The 26,728-nt window shown below is 38.3% G+C and overlaps 1 protein-coding gene across 23 annotated transcripts in view; it reads left to right on the top strand.

The window, feature by feature from the left end:
- Nucleotides 1-26,728, top strand: part of NEK1 (NIMA related kinase 1) — a 219,775-nt gene that overhangs the window by 112,505 nt on the left and 80,542 nt on the right. For 21 of the 23 annotated variants that reach the window (NR_164630.1, NM_001440625.1, NM_001440624.1 and 18 more), the window contains 3 exons: nucleotides 20,545-20,676; nucleotides 22,582-22,647; nucleotides 22,727-22,955. Coding sequence is in view for 22 of the 23 variants with exons in the window: in NM_001440625.1 (NP_001427554.1) it covers nucleotides 20,545-20,676; nucleotides 22,582-22,647; nucleotides 22,727-22,955 (427 nt within the window). In the remaining variant the exon portion in view is untranslated. Of the gene's footprint in view, nucleotides 1-20,544; nucleotides 20,677-21,698; nucleotides 22,556-22,581; nucleotides 22,648-22,726; nucleotides 22,956-26,728 lie in introns of those variants that run through there. The other 2 variants (XM_011532005.3, XM_047415740.1) reach the window with 2 other exon arrangements.

The following is a 26,728-nucleotide window of genomic DNA, read 5'->3' as shown; positions in this document are numbered from 1 at the left end:
GTAAACAAAGTGGCCGGGAAGCTCAAACTGGGTGGAGCCCACCGCAGCTCATGGAGGCCTGCCTGCCTCTGTAGACTCCACCTCTGGGGGCAGGGCATAGCCAAACAAAAGGCAGCAGAATCCTCTGCAGACTTAAATGTCCCTGTCTGACAGCTTTGAAGAGAGTAGTGGTTGTCCCAGCACGCAGCTGCAGATCTGAGAACGGACAGACTGCCTCCTCAAGTGGGTCCCTGACCCCCGAGTAGCCTAACTGGGAGGCACCCCCCAGTAGGGGCAGACTGACACCTCACACAGCCTGGTACTCCTCTGAGACAAAACTTCCAGAGGAATGATCAGGCAGCAACATTTGCTGTTCACCAATATCCACTGTTCTGCAGCCTCCGCTGCTGATACCCAGGCAAACGGTCTGGAGTGGATCTCCAGCAAACTCCAACAGACCTGCAGCTGAGGGTCCTGACTGTTGGGGGGAAAACTAACAAACAGAAAGAACACCCACACCAAAACCCCATCTGTATGTCACCATCATCAAAGACCAAAGGTAGATAAAACCACAAAGATAGGGAAAAAACAGAGCAGAAAAACTGGAAACTCTAAAAATCAGAGTGCCTCTCCTCCTCCAAAGGAATGCAGCTCCTCACCAGCAACAGAACAAAGCTGGACAGAGAATGACTTTGACGAGTTGAGAGAAGAAGGCTTCAGATGATCAAACTACACCTTGCTAAAGGAGGAAGTTCGAACCCATGGCAAAGAAGTTAAAAACCTTGAAAAAAAAATTAGATGAATGGCTAACTAGAATAACCAGTGTAGAGAAGTCCTTAAAGAACCTGATGGAGCTGAAAATCATGGCACAAGAACTACGTGACGAATGCACAAGCCTCAGTAGCCAATTTGTCAACTGGAAGAAGGGGTATCAGTGATGGAAGATCAAATGAATGAAATGAAGCGAGAAGAGTTTAGAGAAAAAAGAATAAAAAGAAACAAACAAAGCCTCCAAGAATTATGGGACTATGTGAAAAGACCAAATCTACGTCTGATTGGTGTACCTGAAAGTGATGGGGAGAATGGAACCAAGTTGGAAAACACTCTGCAGTATATTATCCAGGAGAACTTCCCCAATCTAGCAAGACATGCCAACATTCATATTCAGGAAATACAGAGAATGCCACAAAGATACTCCTCGAGAAGAGCAACTCCAAGACACATAATTGTCAGATTCACCAAAGTTGAAATGAAGGAAAAAATGTTAAGGGCAGCCAGAGAGAAAGGTTGGGTTACCTACAAACGGAAGCCCATCAGACTAACAGCTGATCTCTAGGCAGAAACTCTACAAGCCAGAAGAGAGTGGGGGCCATTATTCAACATTCTTAAAGAAACGAATTTTCAACTCAGAATTTCATATCCAGCCAAACTAAGCTTCATAAGTGAAGGAGAAATAAAATACTTTACAGACAAGCAAATGCTGAGAGATTTTGTCACCACCAGGCCTGCCCTAAAAGAGCTCCAGAAGGAAGCACTAAACATGGAAAGGAACAACCAGTACCAGCCACTGAAAAAACATGCCAAATTGTAAAGACCATCGAGGCTAGTAAGAAACTGCATCAACTAATGAGCAAAATAACCAGCTAACATCATAATGAAGGGATCAAATTCACACATAACAATATTAACCTTAAATGTAAATGGGCTAAATGCTCCAATTAAAAGACACAGACTGGCAAATTGGATAAAGAGTCAAGATCCGTCAGTGTGCTGTATTCAGGAAACCCATCTCATGTGCAGAGACACACATAGGCTCAAAATAAAGGGATGGAGGAAGAGCTACCAAGCAAATGGAAAACAAAAAAAGGCAGGGGTTGCAATCCTAGTCTCTGATAAAAGACTTTAAACCAGCAAAGATCAAAAGAGACAAAGAAGGCCATTACATAATTGTAAAGGGATCAATTCAACAAGAAGAGCTAACTATCCTAAATATATATGCATCCAATACAGGAGCACCCAGATTCATAAAGCAAGTCCTTAGAGACCTACAAAGAGACTTAGACTCCCACACAATAATAATGGGAAGACTTTAACACCCCATTGTCAACGTTAGACAGATCAACAAGACAGAAAGTTAACAAGGATATCCAGGAATTGAACTCAGCTCTGCACCAAGGGGACCTGATAGACATCTACAGAACTCTCCACCCCAAATCAACAGAATATACATTCTTTTCAGCACCACACCACACCTATTTCAAAATTGACCACATAGTTGGAAGTAAAGCACTCCTCAGCAAATGTAAAAGAACAGAAATTATAACAAACTATCTCTCAGACCACAGTGCAATCAGACTAGAACTCAGGATTAAGACACTCACTCAAAACCGCTCAACTACGTGGAAACTGAACAACCTGTTCCTGAATGACTACTGGGTACATAATGAAATGAAGGCAGAAATAAAGATATTCTTTGAAACCAATGAGAACAAAGACACAACATACCAGAATCTCTGGGACACACTCAAAGCAGTGCGTAGAAGGAAATTTATAGCACTAAGTGCCCACAAGAGAAAGCAGGAAAGATCTAAAATTGACACCCTAACATCACAATTAAAAGAACTAGAGGAGCAAGAGCAAACACATTCAAAAGCTAGCAGAAGGCAAGAAATAACTAAGATCAGAGCAGAACTGAAGGAAATAGAGACACAAAAAACCCTCCAAAAAATCAGTGAATCTAGGAGCTGGTTTTTTGAAAAGATCAACAAAATTGATAGACCGCTAGCAAGACTAATAAAGAAGAAAAGAGAGAAGAATCAAATAGATGCAATAAAAAATGATAAAGGGGATATCACCACCAATCCCACAGAAATACAAACTACCATCAGAGAATACTATAAACACCTCTACGCAAATAAACTAGAAAATCTAGAAGAAATGGATAAATTCCTCGACACATACACCCTCCCAAGACTAAACCAGGAAGAAGTTGAATCCCTGAATAGACCAATAACAGGCTCTGAAATTGAGGCAATAATTAATAGCTTACCCACCAAAAGAAATCCAGGACCAGATGGATTCACAGCCGAATTCTACCAGAGGTACAAGGAGGAGCTGTTACCATTCCTTCTGAAACTATTCCAATCAATAGAAAAAGAGGGAATCCTCCCTAACGCATTTTATGAGGCCAACATCATCCTGATACCAAAGCCTGGCAGAGACACAACAAAAAAAGAGAATTTTAGACCAATATCCCTGATGAACATCGATGTAAAAATCCTCAATAAAATACTGGCAAACCGAATCCAGCAGCACATCAAAAAGCTTATCCACCATGATCAAGTGGGCTTCATCCCTGGGATGCAAGGCTGGTTCAACATACGCAAATCAATAAACGTAATCCAGCATATAAACAGAACCAAAGGCAAAAACCACATGATTATCTCAATAGATGCAGAAAAGGCCTTTGACAAAATTCAACAGCCCTTCATGCTAAAAACTCTCAATAAATTATGTATTGATGGGACGTATCTCAAAATAATAAGAGCTATCTATGACAAACCCACAGCCAATATCACACTGAATGGGCAAAAACTGGAAGCATTCCCTTTGAAAACTGGCACAAGACAGGGATGCCCTCTCTCACCACTCCTATTCAACATAGTGTTGGAAGTTCTGGCCAGGGCAATCAGGCAGGAGAAGGAAATAAAGGGTATTCAATTAGGAAAAGAGGAAGTCAAATTGTCCCTGTTTGCAGATGACATGATTGTATATCTAGAAAACCCCATCGTCTCAGCCCAAAATCTCCTTAAGCTGATAGGCAACTTCAGCAAAGTCTCAGGATACAAAATCAATGTGCAAAAATCACAAGCAGTCTTATACACCAATAACAGACAAACAGAGAGCCAAATCATGAGTGAACTCCCATTCACAATTGCTTCAAAGAGTATAAAATACCTAGCAATCCAACTTACAAGGGACGTGAAGGACCTCTTCAAGGAGAACTACAAACCACTGCTCAATGAAATAAAAGGGGATACAAACAAATGGAAGAATATTCCATGCTCATGGGTGGGAAGAATCAGTATCGTGAAAATGGCCCTACTTCCCAAGGTAATTTATAGATTCAATGCCATCCCCATCAAGCTACCAATGACTTTCTTCACAGAATTGGAAAAAACTACTTTAAAGTTCACATGGAACCAAAAAAGAGCCCGCATTGCCAAGTCAATCCTAAGCCAAAAGAACAAAGCTGGAGGCATCACACTACCTGACTTCAAACTATACTACAAGGCTACAGTAACCAAAACAGCATGGTACTGGTACCAAAGCAGAGGTATAGACCAATGGAACAGAACAGAGCCCTCAGAAATAATGCTGCATATCTACAACTATCTGATCTTTGACAAACCTGACAAAAACGAAAAATGAGGAAAGGATTCCCTATTTAATAAATGGTGCTGGGAAAACTGGCTAGCCATATGTAGAAAGCTGAAACTGGATCCCTTCTTTACACTTTATACAAAAATTAATTCAAGATGGATTAAAGACTTAAATGGGCCGGGCACGGTGGCTCACGCCTGTAATCCCAGCACTTTGGGAGGCCGAGACGGGCGGATCACGAGGTCAGGAGATCGAGACCATCCTGGCTAACACGGTGAAACCCCGTCTCTACTAAAAATACAAAAATTAGCTGGTCATGGTGGCGCGCGCCTGTAGTCCCAGCTACACGGGAGGCTGAGGCAGGAGAATGGCGTGAACCCGGGAGGTGGAGCTTGCAGTGAGTCGAGATCGCGCCACTGCACTCCAGCCTGGGCGACAGAGCGAAACTCCGTCTCAAAAAAAAAAAAAAAAAAAAAAGACTTAAATGTTAGACCTAAAACCATAAAAACCCTAGAAGAAAACCTAGGCAGTACCATTCAGTACATAGACATGGGCAAGGACTTCATGTCTAAAACACCAAAAGCAATGGCAACAAAAGCCAAAATTGACAAATGGGATCTAATTAAAATAAAGAGCTTCTGCACAGCAAAAGAAACTACCATCAGAGTGAACAGGCAACCTACAGAATGGGAGAAAATTTTTGCAACCTACTCATCTGACAAAGGCCTAATATCCAGAATCTACAATGAACTCAAATTTACAAGAAAAGAACAACGCCATCACAAAGTGGGCGAAGGATATGAACAGACGCTTCTCAAAAGAAGACATTTCTGCAGCCAAAAGACACATGAAAAAATGCTCATCATCACTGGCCATCAGAGAAATGCAAATCAAAACCACAATGAGATACCATCTCACACCAGTTAGAATGGCAATCACTAAAAAGTGAGGAAACAACAGGTGCTGGAGAGGATGTGGAGAAATAGGAACACTTTTACAGTGTTGGTGGGACTGTAAAGTAGTTCAACCATTGTGGAAGTCAGTGTGGCGATTCCTCAGGGATCTAGAACTAGAAATACCATTTGACCCAGCCATCCCATTACTGGGTATGTACCCAGAGGATTATATAACATGCTGCTATAAAGACACAAGCACACGTATGTTTATTGCGGCACTATTCACAATAGCAAAGACTTGGAACCAACCCAGATGTCCAACAATGATAGACTGAATTAAGAATATGTGGCACATATACACCATGGAATACTATGCAGCCATCAAAAATGACGAGTTCATGTCCTTTGTAGGGGCATGGATGAAGCTGGAAACCATCATTCTCAGCAAACTATCACAAGGACAAAAACCAAACACTGCATGTTCTCACTCATAGGTGGGAATTGAACAATGAGAACACATGGACACAGGAAGGGGAACATCACACACCAGGGCCTGTTGTGGGGTGGGGGTAGTGGGGAGGGATAGCATTAGGAGATATACCTAAGGTAAATGACGAGTTAATGGGTGCAGCACACAAACATGTTACATGTATACATATGTAACAAACCTGCACGTTGTGCACATGTTCCCTAAAACTTAAAGTATAAAAAAAAAAAAAAGAAAGAAATCCGTTGTGAGTCTGATGGGATTCCCTTTAAAAGAGGCAATTTGGTTCTTTTCTCTAGCTGCCTTTAAGATTGTTTCTTTCACATTGACCCTGGATTGTCTGATGACTGTGTGCCTTGGTGATGGTCATCTTATATAGTATCTCACTGGTGTTCTCTGAATTTCTTGTGTCTGCATATCAACCTCTCTTGGAAGATTGGGGAAATTTTTCAGAATCATACCCTGAAATATGTTTTCCAGTTTCCTTACTTTCTGTTTTTCTCTCTCAGGAATGCCAGTAATTCATTGGTTTGGTTGCTTTACATAATCTTATATTTCTTGAAGGCCTTGTTTGCTTTTTTAAATTCTTTCTCTTTATTTTTGTCTGACTGGGTTAATTCAAAAGACCAGTCTTTGAGCTCTGAAATTCTTCTTCTGCTTTGTCTAGTTTGTTGTTAAGGCTTCCAACTGTATTTTGAAATTCCCATAGTGAGTTTTTTAATTCCAAAAGTTCTGTTTGGTTCTTTGTTAATATCATTATGTCATCTTTCATGTCCTGGATCATTTTTCTGGCTTCTTTGTATTGGATTTCAACTTCCTCTCAGATCTTGTGGAGTTTCCTTGCCATCAATATTCCAAGTTCTTTATGTATCATTTTAGATATTTCAGTCTGCTTAGGATCCATGGCTAGGGAGCTAGAACGATCCTTTGGAGATGACAAAGCACCTTGGCTTTTTGTACTTCCAGAGTTCTTTCACTGATTCCTTCTCATCTGAGTGAGCTGACAATTCTTTTTTTGGATTTGTGTTTATTTGGATGGGACTTATTTTTTTTCCCCTTGAAGGTGTAACTGTGATGTATGTTGTGTATGCTCGATTGGCTTCTTTTCTGGGTGCTTTTAGGGGGCCAAAGCTCCATATGGGTTTTTTGGTTGCAGGTAGGTTTGTGTGGTGGCTTTCTCAGATGCTGTTTTTTGTAGTTTTTGCTTGGCGGTGTAATTCAGGCTGCAGTCCAGTAGATGGTGCCGAAGAGTAAGATACAGCAGATTTATTTAGGCTCTGTTCACTTTCATCGAGCCACCAGAGAAGCCCAGAAAGGGCCATTGGGCCCCAACAGAAAGAACTGCTGCCATGTCCACAATCATGCACTTTGGCGAGATGAGAAGGTGAGAGATGACCCCCTTCTCCACGTTTGTTCCGAGGCATTGGCGCTGCCCCCTTCAGTGGTTAGTGCTGCACCCACATTTCCTGTTTCCCATTGGTGGCTTTGACAGGCTGCTCTGTCTCCTCCTTGAGGGGCAGTTTGTGCCAAGTGTTCAATCTGTGGGAGACCCCAAACTCCCTGAGAATCTGCTGGTGTCATGTACTTGCCAAAGTCAGAGTAGGTTGTGTAGTATGTCTGCGGGTGGTGGTGCAGTGGCTCAAGGGCAGAGGATCTACAAGCAAGGGGAGTGGCACCACAGGTACACAACTGGTATGACAACTGCCATCTCAGTTTGGATCAGAGGTGGGTGCAGCATGGCTAAGTCAGCTGCTCACCCAGTTCTCTGTTTTCAGGAAGTCCTCTAATCGCCACCGATAGTGTTGCCCTGGCTTGCAAGGGCTGAGGGGCTCCCCAGCTGTTTAGCAGCCAGTGTGTTGTCAGAGGGGTGAGGGGAGCAGAGACACACTCCCACCTACAGTTTCTGCTGGACTCTGAGTTCCTCAGCGGTCGCTATCAACCAGACTTTTGCTGCTTTCTTTCTCTCCACCCAATCTTCTTCACGTGGGTACTCCAACAGGTCCTGGCTCTGTTCCCTCTGTTTCCTTGTCAAAACTTGATGATTTACCAGTAATTTTGATCTTCCTTCTGAGGAGAACGGGCATGAGATGTCCGTAGTCACAATCTTGAAGCAGCGTCTGAATCTTATTTTTCCATCCATTCTAAATCTTTTGATTGGAGAGCTTAATTACATTGAAGATTGTTATTGATAGGTAAGCACGTACTACTGCATTTGTTATTGTTTTCTGGTTGTTTTTTGGTCCTTTGTTCCTTTCTTCTTCTCTTATTGTCTACTCTTGTGATTTTGTGCTATGTGCTAAGTTTTGATTCCTTTCTCGTTCTCATTTGTGTATCTACTGTAGTTTTTTGCTTTGTAGTTAATCATGAGGCTTACACAAAGCATCTTATAGTAATAATAGACTATTTTAAGCTGATAACAATTTAACTTTGTCACATGAAGATATTCTAGACTTTTACCCTCCTCACAATTATTTTGGCTGTCACAGTTTATACCTTTTTACATTTTGGACTTCATAACAACTTAATGCAATTACAGTTGTTTTTTACTGTTTCAACATTTAACCTTTATAATAGCAATTTGAGAGATTTACACACCATTGTTGCAGTAATGGAATATTCTGAATTTGAATATATATAAATACCTCTCTACCAGTGAGTTTTATACTTTGATATGTTCTTGTGGTAGTAGTTATTGTTCTTTTGTTTCTGGTTGAAGAACTCTTAAGCATTTCTTGTAAATCAGTTCTAGAGGTGATGAATTCCCTTAGCTTCTGTCTATCTGGGAAAGACTTTACTTCTATTTTATTTCTGAAAAACAGCTTTTCTAAGTATAGTATTGTTGGCTGGCAGGGTTTTTTTAATTAGCACCTTGAGTATATTATCCCATTCTCTCCTGACCTGCAAGATTTCTGCTGAGAAATCTGCTGATAGTCTAATGGCGAGCCCCTTGTATGTTGCTTGATGCTCTTCTCCCTCTGCTTTTAAAATTCTTTGTCTTTTACTTTTAATGTTTTAAATTATAAAGTGCCTTGGTGAGGACCTCTTTGCATTGAACCTGTTTGTTAGTTTTCAACTTCTGTAGATATGGATGACCATATCACTCCCAAGACTTGGGAAGTGTTCAGCAAGTACTTCACTTAAAAAGCCTTCTGTGCCTTTCTCCATCTCTCTTTTTTTTTTTTTTTTTTTTTTTTTTTGAGATGGAGTCTTCCTCTGTTGCTGGAGTGCAGTGACGTAATCTTGGCTCACTGCAGCCTCCACCTCCTGGGTTCAAGCGATTCTCCTGCCTCAGCCTCCCAAGTAGCTGGGACTACAGGCGCATGCCACCACACCTGGCTAATTTTTTGTATTTTTAGTAGAGACAGGGCTTCACCATGTTAGCCAGGATGGTCTTGATCTCCTGACCTCGTGATCCTCCCGCCTTGGCCTCCCAAAGTGCTGGGATTACAGGCGTGAGCCACCATGCCCGGCCTCATCTCTTCTCTTTCTAGAGCTCATACTGTGACATTTGTTCCTTTCATGGTGTTCCATAATTCCTATAGGCTTTCTTCACTTTTTCTCTATCTGGGCAACTTCAAAAGACCTATCTTCAAATTCACAGATTGTTTCCTCTGCTTGATCTAGTCTGCTGTTGAAGCTCTCAGTTTTTAACAATTTCATTCATTGAATTCTTCAGCCCCAAGATTTCTGTTTGGTTCTTTTTGTGTTATGTATATCTTTATTGAGCTTGTGATTCATATCATGGATTATTTTGCTGATTTCATTGAATTGTCTATCCTCTTGTATATCCCTGAGTTTCCGTAAGATCATTACTTTGATTTCTCTATCAGGTAATTTGTAAATTTCCATTTCTTTGGGGTCATTATCTGGAGAATTATTCCTTTGATGGTGTCATGTTTTCCTGCTTTTTCATGTTTCTTGTGTCCTTGCATTGATAACTGCACATCTAGTGGATCAGTGACCTCTTCCAAATCTATAGAGTTGCTTTTGTAGGGGATGATTTTACCTATAGATGATTGCTAGGGGGTCAGTTGAGCAGGGTGCATTGGCTCTGTGGGTGGTGGTGCAGTGGCTCAAGGGCAGAGGTTCTGCCTCTGGTTCCAGGTAGGCACGGTAGTGTAGTGTCCATGCAGCTCCTTCAGTTGTAATCAATTTGAGTAATGGCTGCAGGTACTTTAGCCATGACTGTAGGAGTGTGTGACAGCAGTGGTAGCAGCATAGGTTATTAGGATTCTCAGTGACAAGGGCTTTAGTGGGGGTCCTCCTGCTCTTGTTTATCGTACCGTGGGGAGACTTTGTTGGGGAAATCCTTCTTGTTGTCAGATTTGGCAGAGCTCACAAGCAGCCTACAGTGGTGCTAGGGTCCTGGGCCCACTGTCTTCCTGAATTACTATGATACTTGTGACTTGAGTACAAGTTCACTCTCTGAGGTATGGGTAGATGAAGCTGTTCTACAAAGGTGGGGACTGACTCTAAGGCATTCCCCAGTAGCTTGGGCCCAGGTAGCAGGGATATAGCTGTGACTCTGATCCTGAGAGTCAGGGCACAGCACTGGCATGGGTCTGGAGAAGAAGAGATGTTCTAGAGGCTTGGACCCTAGGGAGCAGGGCATAACTGCACTTCAGTTTCTGGAGCCAGTAGGGCATAGTGGCAACTTGGACACCAGGAGAGGAGGTTCCTTGTAGTGGTGACTCTGGCATGGCAGGACATAGCAATGGACCAGACTTTGTGAGGCTGGGTACAGCAGCAACAAGGGCCCATGAATGGTGGGGCACAGCTGTGACTTAGGCATTGGGGAAGGGAATAGCACAACAATGACTCCACCCTTCTGTATATGGCCATACTTAGCCTGTGCTTCACAGGGTTTCTGCCACTCCCTTGCTATTCTCTGACATTCTTAAGTCACTCTGGTCAAAATGCAGTTATCAATTCATTGTTTTTGTCCTTTTTTGTGGGGCAGAGGGTAGAGCATTAGGCATTTGTAATTTGCCATCCTGCTGATGTCACCACCCTCCTTGCCTGGCTGCCTGGCTACCTAGCTGCCTCCTTCCCTCCCTCCCTCCGCCCCTCTATAGTTAGTTTCTATTGCCTTCAACCAAAGAATCTTAACTGATTTACCACGTAAAATGCTCAGCATGGTACCTGGTGAATAGTAACACAAATAAATTCATTGGGAATTCTGTGTCTCATGATATTCCAGAGCTGTGCATAAGGAAATGTTCAGGAAACATCTGTTTATTTAATGCACACTGGTATAGTGGGAAAAAAATGAGACTGGGAATCAGAATACCTGATTTTGGTCTCAGCCTTGCCAATTAATTAGCTTGTTTGAAGATTGACTTAATGTTTGTGGCCTTTATTTCCTCGTCTAGATGAAGGGCATATTCTCTAATGTTGCTCTATCTAAATTGTATAGAAAAATAGTATCCATAATGTAAGTATTTAGATCCAGCTTAATATACAAAAAAAAATTGATTAAAGTTATTTAACTATTATTTCAATAGAAAGTCTAATATAGCATAATCTAGATGTTATATTGGGGGGTAGTGTTCATATATCTATCTTTACTCATTGACCGTTACTCAGGAGTGGTTAACATGGAATTCAGAATTGAAGCTAGCATTATTAAGCCCCCTAAAATATTAATGTAAAGTTTGGCAGTATGTATGTTGGTGCATTTTCTTCAGTAAAACCACGTATATTTCCTTGGATTCTCAAAAGTATAATATTTTCAATCTAACAAAGGATAAAAATCACTGCCCTGTAACCAAACCAGCATGGTACTGGTACAAAAATAGACACATAGAACAATGGAAGAGAATAGAGAACTCAGAAATAAACCACATACCTACACGGAACTGATCTTTGAAAAACCTGACAAAAACAAGCAATAGGGAAAGGATTTCCTATTTAATAAATGGTGCTGGGAGAACTGGCTAGTCATATGCAGAAAATTGAAACTGGATCCCCCTTCCTTAAACTTTATACAAAAGTTAACGCAAGATGGATTAAAGATGTAAATGTAAAACCCAAAACTATAGAAATCCTAGAAGAAAATCTAGGCAGTATCGTTCAGGACACAGGCACAAATAAAGATTTCATGATGAAATGCCAAAAGCAATAGCGACAAAAGCAAAAATTGGCAAATGGGATCTAATTAACTAAAGAGCTTTTGCACAGCAAAAGAAACTGTCATCAGAGTGAACAGACAACCTACAGAATGGGAGAAAATTTTTGCAATCTATCCATCTGACAAAGAGCTAATATCCAGAGTCTACAAGGAACTTAAACAAATTTACAAGAAAAAAACAAAAATGTCCATTTTTACGCATTAAAAAATGGGCAAAGGACATAAACAGACACTTCTTAAAAAGAAGACATGCATGCAGCCAACAAACATGAAAAAAAGCTCAACATCTCTGATCATTAGAGAAATGCAAATCAGAACCACAGAGAAATACCATATCACATCAGTCAGAATGGCAATTATTAAAAAATCAAGAAACAACAGATGCTGGCAAAGTTACAGAGAAAAAGGAATGCATTTACACTGTTGGTGGGAGTGTAAATTAGTTTAGCCATTTTGGAAGACAGTGTGGGGATTCCTCAAAGATCTAGAAGCAGGTACACCATTTGACCCAGCAATCCCATTACTGGGTATATACCCCAAAATATATAAATCATTCTGTTATAAAGATACATGCATGCGTATGTTCATTGCAGCACTATTCACGATAGCAAAGACATAGAATCAACCCAGATTTCCATCAGTGATAGACTGGATAAAGAAAACACGGTACATATACACCATGGAATACTATGCAGCCACAGAAAGGAACAAGAACATGTCCTTTGCAGGGACATTGATGGAGCTGGAAGCTGTTATTCTCAACAGACTAACACAGGAACAGAAAACCAAACACCTCATGGTATCACTTATAAGTGGGAGCTGAACGATGAGAATACATGAACACATTGGTGGGAACAACACACATTGGGGCTTTTGAGGGATGTGGAGGAAGGGAGAGCATCAGGAAGAATAGCTAACGGATGCTGGCCTTAATACCTGGGTGATGAGTTGATCTGTGCAGCAAACCACCATGGCACACATTTACCTATATAACAAGCCTGCACATTCTGCACATGTACCCTGGAACTTAAAAGTGAAGGAAAAAAAAATCACTGCCTTAACTATTGTGATTCTTTGGCAGTATATACCTAATTTTATAAAATTTTCTCTTTGACATATTTAATGATAAAAATTGTAGTACCAATTGGGATTTAGATATGGAGAACAATATGTGATGATGGGTCCTTTTTTTGGGAGGGCCAAGTAATATAGTGTTAGGTTTTCAGCCATCACGTATGCTATATTGTGAATGAAGTATGTAAGGAAGATCGATTCAGTTTTTTAAAAGGGTAGCAATGTTTTAAGAATTAAAATTCAGTGAAAAATAGAATTAGGGAGATTCTGTCTTGGTTAGGTTGGATAAAATATTTTGAATGTAAATTCTTGTGTATTTCTGTTTCCATCTTTGTCTTATTTTTAGACTTTCCATGCACGCCTGTAAGGCTCCCCACAGGGTGTACACACTCATTGCTTCTGGCTACCTTGTTCTTATTCTTAGATATTCTTATAAAAGCATTATGGCAATACTAGTTAAGAAAATTTATTCAAATACAAATACTTTTATACTATTGGTTCTTCAAAGATAAGGTTTTGAGACATTAAATATGAATTTGATAAGATTTGGCCATGATATATCTTTAGGCTGTATAAAACTGTGTGAAATTACTCTATTCAAAATATGAAACTAAGTCATTTAATACTTTCCTAGCATACATTAAATCCTTACTAATAAGTCAGCATAAAGATGAAAATATGTTTGTTATTGATCAAGAGTAGGCAGACATCAAGAGTAGGCAGACTGGTGGTTTCATGTGTTTGTAAGCCTCGCCTCACTATTTGGTGAAATTTTGAGTTTCGTCATTTGGTGGCACTGCTGCTTAATTTTTCAGCACATGGCAAAATTGACACGTGAAGTAGAAACAGTTTTACAGCGATAATTGAAAACCTTTTGTGACAATAAAAGCAATGTTGAAAAGCCTTAAATTTATGAACCTTGTGAGAAAAATGGCTAAGAAAAAAAAAGCTTCTAAAGCATTTCTTTTAAAACTGAATTATGAAACTTTCAGGTCAATGTTTTATCTTTTTTTTTGCACATTTTTATATTTAAAACTGTGGTTAAACTTTGAAAGACTGTGCTTTGTTTGTTTTGTTTTGTTTTGAAACAGGGTCTTGCTCTGTCACTCAGGCTGGAGTGCCGTGGTGTGAACATGGCTCTCTGCAATTTCGACCTGCTGGGCTCAAGGGATCCTCCTGCCTCAGCCTGTCTATAGCTGGGACCCTTAGCACACGTCACCATACATAAGCTAATGTTCTTATTTGTTGTACAAATGGAGTCTCACTGGTCTGGTGAGACTCCATTTCTACAAGAAAAAAGAAAATTAACTGGGTCTCAAACTCCTGGGCTCAAGTGCTCCTCCTGCCTCAGCCTCCTGAGTGCTGGGATTATAGGTGTGAGCCATTGCACCCAGTGAAAAAGTATGTTTAGAATGAAATATATATTATAGATTTAGCTGGGTGATCAATTGTATAATAAAATTGGGTCATTCTTTGTTCCAAATTTTTATATTTTTCTCTTATATGAAACTTTATATTGTTTTCCTGGCTTAGTTAATTTTTGTGATATGTCATATTTGCTCAACTTTCCGTATAAAAGGCTTAGTGTAATGGTTTATCTTTCAATAATTAGAAGTACATTATCATCTTTTATCTCAAGATGTAGTTAATATTGAAAAGCTTTAAGGTTCTGATTATAAATAATACACCATGATATTTATACAGAAGGCCCAATTCAACTGTACTAATAAGTTACTTAAGTGTATGACATTAGCTTATAATGATGTTGCCACATTTCAGTAGTCATCCTGAACCACCCATAAATTTTCAGTAACTTAGTTGTCTTCTTAAGTTATTGTAAGAGTTAGTAATCTGTCTTTGTTCATTTATTTAGATTCCATGTCTGAATTTGTCTGTTTAGGTTCTTCTAATCTGTTTGGTTTAGTTGACTCAGAGGAGAGATCAGTATGCATTTGATTATAGAACATAAGCATTTACTGAAGGCTGCTGAAGATCATTATTATAAAAGTGCCAATAAATTTGTCTCTCACAATGCTCAAATTTTAATTTCTGATCATGGTTAAGATAGGAGGTTTTTGTTTTTAGTCTGCATTCTAAAGATGAGAAACTTGCATTCTGAAACTTAATACATTTCATCAGGAACTAAAACCAGACTTGTAGTGTTTAAGCCAAATAACCTTATTTAATGGAAACCAAATAAATAACAATTGCTACTATTTATTAGGTACACAGATGTGTACTTTACGTAAATTATCTCATGCAATCCCTATAGCAGAGAGGCAAAGAGTACAGCATTTCTATTTTAGAGAAAAACTGTGAGGTTCAGAGAGGATAAAAACAATGAAAAATCACAGGACTGGTGAGTGTTTTGGGATTTGAATGTACAACTGTCCTACTTTATCTGTGTTTTATGGCCTTCCCGAACAATGAATGGCTGACCATTGGCTGCTCTGCGAAGGCTGTTCTCACTGGTGCCCCTCTTGGCTTTACAGAGTTAGTTCTTTCTATATTTTTTGTTTCATTCTTCCCCAGATCGTTTAGTACTTATCTCTTTATTTTTTTCTCTGTAACATACTGATTGATTTATGTGTTCTTTTTTCTTTTCTAATTTACAGTCCCCTCAGAGAAAATATTGTGTCTAATTCATTTTGGATATCATTATCTAGAACTGTGCTTGGCCTTAATAGGTATTAATATGTATTTTAATTTATTGATAATTTTTGTCAAATATTGTGGATTTGTCTTCTCACAGAAATCGTGTCAGATTGATGTATCGAAATAGCAGGCCAAACGCGGTGGCTCACGCCTGTAATCCCAGCACTCTGGGAGGCCAAGGCAGGCAGATCACGGGGTCAGGAGTTCGAGACCAGCCTGGCCAACATGTGAAATCCCATTTCTACTAAAAATACAAAAATGTGCTGGGCATGGTGGCACATAACTGTAATCCTAGTATGTGGTAGAGAAGTGATTACTGATTTAAATAAAAATAGCAGAATGTGTTCATTCAAAGTATATTTCTTTTAAGTAATCATCTAGAGAAATAACATATTTGTTCTAAAAATACTGCTACTATTCAGAACAACTTTGGAGCTTGTTTTTATTCTCTCAGTGTATGAAACCTTATTTGAATTTATATACTATAGTAATTAAAACAAACAAAGTTTCAAAATATTTAGATATAATCTTTCAAGGTGATAATACTGTTAGGTGAGCTCTAGATATTTTTAAAAGTTATTTGTAGTAACTTTTTTTTTTTTTTTTTTTGAGACAGAGTCTCACTCTGTCGCCCAGGCTGGAGTGCAGTGGCACAGTCTCGGCTCACTGCAACCTCTGCCTCACGGGTTCAAGTGATTCTCCTGCCTCAGCCTCCCGAGTACTTGGGACTACAGGTGTACACCACCATGCCCGGCCAATTTTTTGTATTTTTAGTAGAGAGAGGGTTTCACCATGATGGCCAGACTGGTCTCAAACTCATGACCTTGTGATCCACCCGCCTTGGCCTCCCAAAGTGCTGGGATTACAGGTGTGAGCCACTGCGCCCGGCCTATTTGTAGTAACATCTTAAATATCAGTATACTTTTTCAATAATACTGAACTATGGGACTAAAGCAATGTTTCCATCCTTTTTTGAACAAAATAAATACAGGCATACTTTGTTTTATTGTGCTTCATAAATACTGCATTTTTTACAAATTGAAGGTTTGTGGCAACCCTGCATCAAGCAAGTCTATCAGTGTCATTTTCCCAACAGCTTTTGCTCATTTTGTGTCTTTGTGTCACATTTTTGTAATTCTTGCCATATTTCAAACTTTTTCATTATTGTCATTATATCTTTGATATTACTGTTGTAATTGTTCTGAGGCACCACAGACTTCACCCATATAAGATGGGAAATTTAATTGATGAATGTGTGTGTTCTAATTGCTCCACTGACTGGTAGTTCCCCTGTCTCACTCCTCAGATCTTATTCCCTAAGACAAAATAATATTGAAATTAGGCCACTTAATGACTTACAGTGGCCTCTTAAGTATTCAAGTAAAAGAGTTGCATGTCTGTCACCTGAAATCAAGATTAAGCTTGGTGATGAAGGCATATTGAAAGCTGAGATAGGCACAGAATTAAGCCTCTTGCGCCAGTTATCCAAGTTGTGAATGCAAAGGAAAAGTTCCTGAAGGAAATTAAAAGTGCTACCCCAGACCAGGTGCAGTGGCTCACGCCTGTAATCCCAGCATGTTGGGAGGCCGAGGCAGGTGGATCATGAGATCAGGAGTTTGAGACCAGCCTGGCTAACATAGTGAACCCCATCTCTACTAAAAATACAAAAAATTAGCTGAGCGTGGTGGTGTGTGCCTGTAATCCCAGCTACTCAGGAGGCTGAGGCAGGAGAATCATGTAAATCCAGGAGGGAGGCGGAGGTTTCACTGAGCCATTGCACCCCATTGCACTCCAGCCTGGGCGACAGTACAAGACTCCATCTCAGAAAAAAAAAAAGTTCTACTCCAGTGAACACACATGATAAGAAAGCGAAACAGCCAGGTGCCTGTAGTCTCAGCAACTCGGGAGACTGAGGCACGAGAATTGCTTGAGGCCAGAAGTTTGAGACTAGCATGGATGACATAGTGAGAACCTGTCTCTAAAAAAAAAAAAAGAAAGAAAGAAAGAAAGAAAAATTAGCTGGATGTGGTGGCACACACCTATAGTCCCAACCACATTGAGAAGCTAAGGCAGAATGATCATTTGAGCCTAGGATTTCAAGGTTGCAGTGAGCTATTATTGTGCCTGGATCTGCACTCCAGCCTGGGTGACAGAGCAAGACCCCATCTCTTAGAAAAAAAAGAAAGAAAGAAAGCAAAACAGCCTTCTTGCTGATATGGAGAAAGCTTTAGTGGTCTAGATAGAAGATCAAACCAGCCGCAACATTCTCTTTGGCCAAAGCCTAATCCAGAGCAAGGCCCTAACTCTCCTCAATTCCGTGAAGACTAGGAGAGATAAGGAAGCTACAGAAGAAAAATTGTTGGCTAGCAGAGATTGGTTCATAAGGTTTAAGGAAAGAAGCCACCTCCATAACATGAAAGTGCAAGGTAAAGCAGTAAGTGCTGATGGAGAAACTGCAGTACATTATCCAGGAGATATAGCTAAGATCATTGATAAAGGTGGTAATACTAAACAACAGATTTTCAGTGTAGATAAAACAGCCTTCTATTGGAAGAAGATGCCATCTAGGACTCTCATAACTAAAGAGAAGTCAATACCTGGCTTCAAAGCTAAAGAGAAGTCAATAGCTGGCTTCAAAGCTTCAAAAGACTGGCTGACTCTCTTGTTGGGAGCTAATGCAGCTGGTGACTTTAAGTTGAAGCCAGTGCTCATTTGCCATTCTGAAACTCCTAGGACCCTTAAGAATTATGCTAAATCTATTCTATTTGTGTTCTATAAATGGAACAATAAAGCCTGGATGACTGCACATCTGTTAACAGCACGGTTTGCTGTAAATATTTTAAGCCCACTGTTGAGACCTACTGGTTAGAAAAAAAAAATTATTTCCAAATATTACTACTCATTGACAAGGCACCTAGTTACCCAAGAGCTCTGATGGAGATGTATTATACAAAGAGATTCATGTTGTTTTCATGCCTGCTAACACGACATCCATTCTGCAGCCAATGTATCAAGAAGTCATTTTGACTTTCAGGTCTTCTTATTTAAGAAATACATTTTTTTAAGGCTGTAGCCATAGATAATGGTTCCTCTAATGGATCTGGGCAAAGTAAATTGAAAGCCTTCTAAAAAGTATTCATCATTCATCATTCTAGATGCCATTCAGAACTTTTTTGATTCATGGAGTTAATGTCATGTTAATGTTAATGTCAACATTAACAGGAGTTTGGAAGAAGTTGACTCCATTCTTCAAGATTTCAGTGGAGGAAGTCAGTGTAGATGTGGTAGAAATAGCAAGAGAAGTAGAATGGCAAGGGGAGCCTGAAGATATGACTGAATTGCTACAATCTCATGATAAACTTGAATGGATGAGGAATTGCTTCTTATGGAGGAGCAAATAAAGTGGTTTCTTGAGGTGGAGTCTACGAAGGTGAAGCTGTTTTGAACATTGTTGAAATGATAAGGGATTTAGAATATTTTGTAAACTTAGTCGATAAAGCAACAGCAGGGTTTGAGATGACTGACTCCAGTTTTGAAAGAAGTTCTACTGTGGGTAAAATGCAACAGCATCACATGCTGCAGATAAATATTTTCATGGGCTGGGCACAGTGGCTTACGCTTGTAATCCCAGCACTTTGGGAGACTGAGTCAGGACAGTCATTGAAGCCAGAAGTTCAAGACCAGCCTAGGCAATATAGTGGACCTCATCTTTATTTAAATAATAAAGAATTTTAAAAATATTTTTACAAAATCAAAAGAATATTTTCATGAAAGAGTCAATGGATGCAGCAAACTTCATTTTTGTCTTATTTTAAGAAATTGTCATAGCCACCCCAACATCCAGGAGTCACCACCCTGATCAGTCAGTAGCCATCAGTATCAAGGCAAGACCCTCCACCAGCAAAATAATTACAATTCATTGAAGGCTCAGAAGAATCATTAGCTTTTTTTTTTTTTTTTTTTTAGGAATGAGGTGTTTATTAAGGTGTGTACATTGTTTTTTAGACATAATGCTGTTGCACACTTAATAGGCTACAGAATCGTGTAAACATAAATTTTGTATGCTCTGAGAAACCCCAGAATTTGTGTGACTCACTTTATTGCAATATTACCGTTATTGCAGTGGTCTGGAACCAAGTGCGTAATATCTCAGAGGTATGCCTGTATTGTTGTAAAGTGAAGGTCTAGAAGCCTAAATATTAAGATTGTATTATTACTGTATTTTTAGAAGATACTCAATAAATATTGTGTTTGAAATGTATACTCCCCAGAAAGTCTTGTTTCCTAGATTGAGGAAGACTAGGAATAGGGAGTAGGGAGTAAACTTCCTGCTGTGTTACTATTGTCATACCCATAAATGTCATTTCCTTGTATTAATTCAGGTTTCATAATCTTACTTTGTTTAGAGTTTAAATGGCAACATAAAAACAAGCACATATGTTAATACAACATGATGTTTTCAGTGAAGTAAATCTTATTACCTGGATCTGTTTCTCCTTCCATTCTCATTTATGTTGGCATTTTTATGAGGGCTCTTATGTTGAGTAATTGATATTTGAACTTTGAGAAGATTGTACCCAAACCTGCAGGAATTACAAAAGCATTTCTTTTAGAAGTGTAAGATTAACAAAATCTTACACTTGAATCTTTAAAAGACAGTTTTTCAGGATCATTTCATGAAACATTGATAATGCAATGAAAGCGGGTTATTTAGGACTATGTGACATGACTATGTGTACATCTGAGACCAGAGATTTTTTTCTCTAGTCACTGCTGTATCCCCAGCATGTAGCATCATAATGCCTTGCTCAACAGATAATTCAGGAATGAAAAAAACTACTTGTGGATAGAGTGGATAAATAGTGATCTGGTAGGTACCATTTTATTTCTTCATACAAATATAAAATCCCTAATGTATTTAATAAAATCCTTTTTTATAGTTGGTGGCTAAAGGAGTTAAGAGTTCTGATGTTTCTCCACCTTTGGGACAGCATGAAACAGGTGGCTCTCCATCAAAGCAACAGATGAGATCTGTTATTTCTGTAACTTCAGCTTTGAAAGAAGTTGGCGTGGTAAGTTTCCTAAGATTCAGAACTCCTCAAAGTCAAAAGATTATTTAAAAGGAAATTAAATTTAATGAAATCACATTAATCCCTAATGTCCCTTTCAGGTTTTTCTAAGGAAAAAAATTACTTTTTAAGGGATTTTAGTTTACTCAGAATACTGGAGCCTCATTGTTTATAAGTTTTATATCTAGGACCACGTGGTAGATGAAAATATATCACAATAACTCTTATATTACTTTAAAAGAATATTGAAAAAATAAAATATACAGAGAAATGTACTGAAAATAATACTATAAACATTTTTCTACCCAACCCTCATGATTAACAAATGTTCACTTTAAAAAGAATAATGTCTCTTTGGTGCTAAAGTAGCTCTAGGTATTAGGTCCAACACATATTTACATTTATTCAAATTTTGTGACATGGCAAATGTTAGAGGACTCAGTAGAACTAGTTAATTCATCAGTTATTCCTTTTACCTTCTACTTCTGAATCTCTGTCATGCCCTACAGATAGTAAAACAAAGAAACATAGACAAATAAAAAGCTTAAACTTAGAAGTATATTTCAGGTATCTGTCTGAAGTGTGAAGACTGTTCAGGGGTTAAGAGAAGTGGGCTCATAGTGTGGAGCTGCGGCCTAGAATTCAACAGACAGGAGGAGAAAAGTCTACTGAATCAGATAACATAATAACTTCATTTTCCCCTTTCCTGGTAATGGATGTCTGTGCTTTTTATTTGTTTAGTTTCAGTAAATATTTGCAGACAAAATTGGTACACTAGCTGTTTTTTTTTATAGCCTTTGGGTTGATTTTGAAAATAAAACTCAGTAGGAAAATATAAGTTTCTTGATCATTCTCAAGAACTTCATGTAAGAAACTATTGTTCTTCAAGTAGGCTTAGTCACTTTTTCTTTCTGATAACGACTTTGCGTGTGCCACGTTGTTACTCCAACTTTAGATACCACTGTGTGGTCCCTCCTTGGTACCCAGTCTCACATCTCAATAGCTGTTCATCTCTCTGGTTGTAGGACTGCTAATTCCTGACTACTTTACTGGGTAAAATGTTCTTTGTCTCATTGCTTCATATATTACTTTGAAACTGACCACCAAATTTTTAATTTTTTTTAAGTATTACAAAATTCGAGGTAATCCATATAACTGAACGGTTTTCTTTCTGTGTTGTGTTGGTAAATGTCACTTACTTAAAACTTAGAAAATTGTTCTTTGAATCTTCTACATGCCTTTGCTTTCATAGCTTTCGTAACTGCTAATTTCTTCTTTTCGTATGTTTTTTAATTTTAGATAGTCTGGATTGCTTTGACAATGCTAATTAGGAGATAACATTTATGTCATTTGTAGTACAAATGACTCAGAACTAATTTTTGTTACACTCTTTGTTTAGGGAGGAAAGCCACTTCTCAATTACATTTAGTACTATGGCTTAACAAGGATATATATACATGAAACATAAAGACAGTTTTAGAATAACACAGCCTATTTTGAATTACTTCATCTATCAAAACTTTTTCTAGTTATAATTAAGAGAGTATATGAATTTTCCTCTAATTTCTACTTTTTCCTCTAATTTCTACTTTTTCCTCTAATTTTCTGACTTAAATTACCAAAAAATCAGGTACCAAAGAGGAAGAGGATATAGTTAATTATGTGAGCAGTAATCTAAAAATATGACAAATAATTGAGAATTGGCCCCTGTCTATGTTGTCTAATTAATAATATTTAAAGGTTAGTCATTGCTGATAATGAAGGAAGCTTTGTTAACATTTTATAGGAATAAAAAATTTACAAGGAACAAATTAATGAAAACCAAAAAGTAACGAGGATGTAATATTTTTAAAGGTAGATTTAAAAAAATAAAATTATCTCTTCCTCTGTATCTATCTGCATTTAAAGGACAGTAGTTTAACTGATACCCGGGAAACTTCAGAAGAGATGCAAAAGACCAACAATGCTATTTCAGTAAGTAAAATTTTCAAAGTTTATCAATCATTTTACTTAATGATATACATATTAAAATATATAATGTCGTGACTTTCAGAGTAAGCGAGAAATACTTCGTAGATTAAATGAAAATCTTAAAGCTCAAGAAGATGAAAAAGGAAAGCAGAATCTCTCTGATACTTTTGAGATAAATGTTCATGAAGATGCCAAAGAGCATGAAAAAGAAAAATCAGTTTCATCTGATCGCAAGAAGTGGGAGGCAGGAGGTCAACTTGTGATTCCTCTGGATGAGTTAACACTAGATACATCCTTCTCTACAACTGAAAGTATGTATAGTAGTATATTAATATCCTATTTAGGTCTAGTACATATGTAAACTTATAGACTAACCACTCTGAAAAAAATGAACACTTAGAAGAATTGAGAGAAGCTGAAAGAATTCTATATATTTTCCTTTTGGGCGAATAGAAGTGCCTCCCTCTCACAGTGAAATGTGAAGAGCAGAGAAAACTAATCAAACTAATCAGCCTTAATAGCAAGGATTTTTATTACAAAAGTGTATAGTGTGAGAGAGGGAACTAATGATACATATTTAAATTGCATTACTTTAACTCTGTATACCATGTTAAATTAATCTGTTACTATGAATAATTCTTGATGAGAACCAGGGTAGTGTCTCAGAAACATCTCTTAGGCATTTAGCGAGAGTATTGAGAAAATCTGACTTAATGATTTATATATTCGGTGATAATTACTGAGAATCTATATTTCTTACATTGTTCTAGGAATTGGAGATATAGGAACAAAACAGAAACATATGTGCTCTTGTGGAGCTTACATTCTAGAAGGGCAAGTCTGACCATCAACAAATCTGATTTTAAGTAATTTTTTTCACAGACTGTTTTTGTAGAATTTTTTCTTGCATTGGAAAAAAGCCCAAAGACTTGATAGCATTTATTTTGCTTATTTATTCAACAGTTCTTTATTGGGTACCTACCATATGTAATACACTCTTAAGCAATGGGAATATAATAATGTTTAGAATGTAGTCCCTCCCCTTAGGGAGCTTAAGGTCTAGTGGAAAGGCAGGCAAGTAAAGAGATAATTGTAGTTGATAAATACTGTGCTAGGAATAATCATAGACTACTGCAGGAATACATAAGAGACCATAAATCAGCCTTGGAAGAGCCCCCATGATCCAGTCACCTCCCTCCCTCAACACAGGGTTATAATTTGAGATGAGATTTGGGTGGGGACACTATCTGTCTGCTTTTATGATTTGTCTTTATCACTGGTTTTGAGCAATATGATTGTAAAGTGCCTTGGTATAGTTTTCTTCATGCTTCCTGTCCTTGGGATTCATTGAGCTTCTTGTGTCTTTGGGTTTATGGTTGTCACATTTGGAACACTTTCAGCCATCATTTCTTCTAATATTTTTTCCATGCCTCCTCCTTCTTCTGTCCTTTAGGGACTCCAGTTTTACTTTCTGTCTCATACCTCAGTGGTGCTCTTTTTACTTTAATTTTTTAGATTCTTGTTGTGTTTCATTGTGGATAGTTTCTATTGCTCTATCTTTAATAGATGATAGTCTTTTTTTCCTGCCATACCCAATCTGCTATTAATTCTATTCAATGTACTTTTCATCTCAGATATTGTAGTTTTCACCTCCAGAAGTTTAAGGAGTTGTTTTTCTATCTGCCATGTCTCTACTTAACTTTTTTGATCATATGGAATACAGTTGTGAAAATTTTATTAATGTCTTTACTTATTCTGACATCTGTGTCAAATGTTAGAATTTTATTGGGTCCATTTTATTGATTGCCTTTTCTCCTTGTTACAGGTTGTATTCTTCTGCTTCTTTGCAGGCTTGGTTGTTTTTAATTGGATGTCAGACATTTTGCATTTTACCTTGTTGGGTGCTAGGTATTTTTTTATTTTTGTAATTATTCTGGAGATTTATTCTAGAATGCAGTTAAGTTATAATACTTGGACTCAGTTTGATTCATTCATGTCTTATTTTTAATATTTGTGAGGTGAGATCAGAGCCATGTTTAGTCTAATGCTAATTATACCCATTTAGGAGATAAGATGCTTCTGAGTGCTCTACGGAAGGAATGATGAGGTTTTCCAGTTTGGCTGGTAGGAATAGACACTATTTCATGTCTTGTGTTCTCTGTAATCTTTTTGGGTGCTTTTTTTCCTAACTTGGGTAGTTTTCTCATATATTTGCTCTGCTCATACTCAGGGCTACCATCTGCAGGTCTCTGGAATTCTCTTTCTAGTTGCTTTGGTCTTCCAGGAATCCCAGCTCTACCTCCTGAACTCAGGGAGTGTGGTAGACCCATTAGCTATAGCCTGAAAACTCTAAAGGCTGGGCAATCATAGGGATCATCTCATTTGTTTTTGTTTTTGTTTTTTCCCTCTCTCAGGGACCCATGTTCTTTATTACCTGTTGTACAATGTCTTGAAACTGCTGTCTCATATTTTGTCCAGTTGTTTTGGTTATTTAGGGAGCAGCATAACTCTAATTACTCTATACCATCTTAATAAGAAGTAGATATCCTTGAAACCAGTTTTTAGAGGCTATTGCACTAATCTAGGCAGAAGTTAATGATGACCTTAACTAAATTACTGAAAGGTAATAAAGAGGAGATATTTAAAAGATACTAGGAGACAGACTTATAGGGGCTTTATGTGAAACTGTTCAAAGAGTTCATCAGAGGAAGACCTTTGCAAAGAAAATGAGGAACAGACAGAGATAAAATTAGGAGACTGTAGTATGGGTTCCAAAGAAAGAAGAAAGCACTTCAGGAAGAGAGGTAACATATTCAAGGCTAAAAAATATACACTGGATTCGTCAGAGAAGAGGCAATGTGAGCTTGGTAAAAGCAGTGTCATTAGAGTGCTAGAGACAGAAATAGAATCCAAGAATTAGGAAGTGAATAGGAGAGGAAATTTAAAAAGAGAGTTTAGAACCTTTTCAAGAAGCTGAACTGCGAAGCAGAACAGAGAGGTAAGATGGTATTACTTGGTGGGGATGTAGAGTCATTGTAACCTTGTGTAAAAAGAGACTTGAAAATATTTTATGCTGATTAGAAAACCAAAGTATATCACATCACTGTCTCATTTTAAAACCTAATTGGTTTTCATTGCAACTAGAATAAAAGTCCAAAGTTCTTTTAATGATTCAAGTCTCTCCTCTCTCTTGGTTTATGCGTTGCCTGCTCATTGTATCCATTTCCTTCTAACTAGTTCACTAGAACTACTTCTCACCTTTCACTTCTTAAAACATGCCAAGCTCTTTCTTTTCCATCGTACTCTTCCCCTTCCCTCTTTCCCAAGTCCTTAATGTGGCTGCTTCTCTTTTTTTTTCTGTCCCTGTTCTTTAGCTATCACCCCATTTCTAAAAGTCCTCTTTATATCAGAATTCTTCAAAAGTGTTCTCTGTTTACAATTCTAGTTCCTCTCCTTTATTCTCCCTTAATCTACTTCAACCAGACTTTTTCCTCTACCACTCCATTACAATTCTTTTCATGGTCACTATAGACCTTCATGTCGGTAAGTTTTAAAGGCCCTATTTTATGTATTTACAGCTTCGACATCCTGGATTATTGTCCATACCCACACGCACGTGTGCTCACACATACACACTCTTCTTGAAGCACTTTCTTCACTTTTCTCCCCTCTATTAATAGTAGACCTCTCTCTCTCTCTCTTTCGTATTTTTTGGAGAGATGGTGTTTTGCTATGTTGCCCAGGCTGGTCTCAAACTCCTGGCCTCAAGTGACCCACCCACTTTGGCTCCCCAAAGTGCTGGGATTACAGGCATGAGCCACCATGCCTGACCCTTCTCTTATTTTCAAATCATTGAATATTATTTCTGTACTTTAAATATTTATTTATTTAAATCTATTTTATTTCTATAGATTCAGGGTGTACATGTGCAGGTTTGTTACATGTATATATTGCATTATGGTGAGGATTGGGTTTCTAGTGTACCTACCACTCAAAATAGTGAACATGGTACCCCAATAGGTAATTGGTATTGGTACCCCAATAGATAATTTTTCAACCCTCACCCCTGCCCAGCCTCTCCCCT

This window comes from Homo sapiens, chromosome 4 (assembly GCF_000001405.40).
Source record: "Homo sapiens chromosome 4, GRCh38.p14 Primary Assembly".
Lineage (NCBI taxonomy): Eukaryota > Metazoa > Chordata > Mammalia > Primates > Hominidae > Homo > Homo sapiens.
Note: the sequence above shows the minus strand (reverse complement) of the source record. Positions and strands in the feature narration are given on the sequence as shown.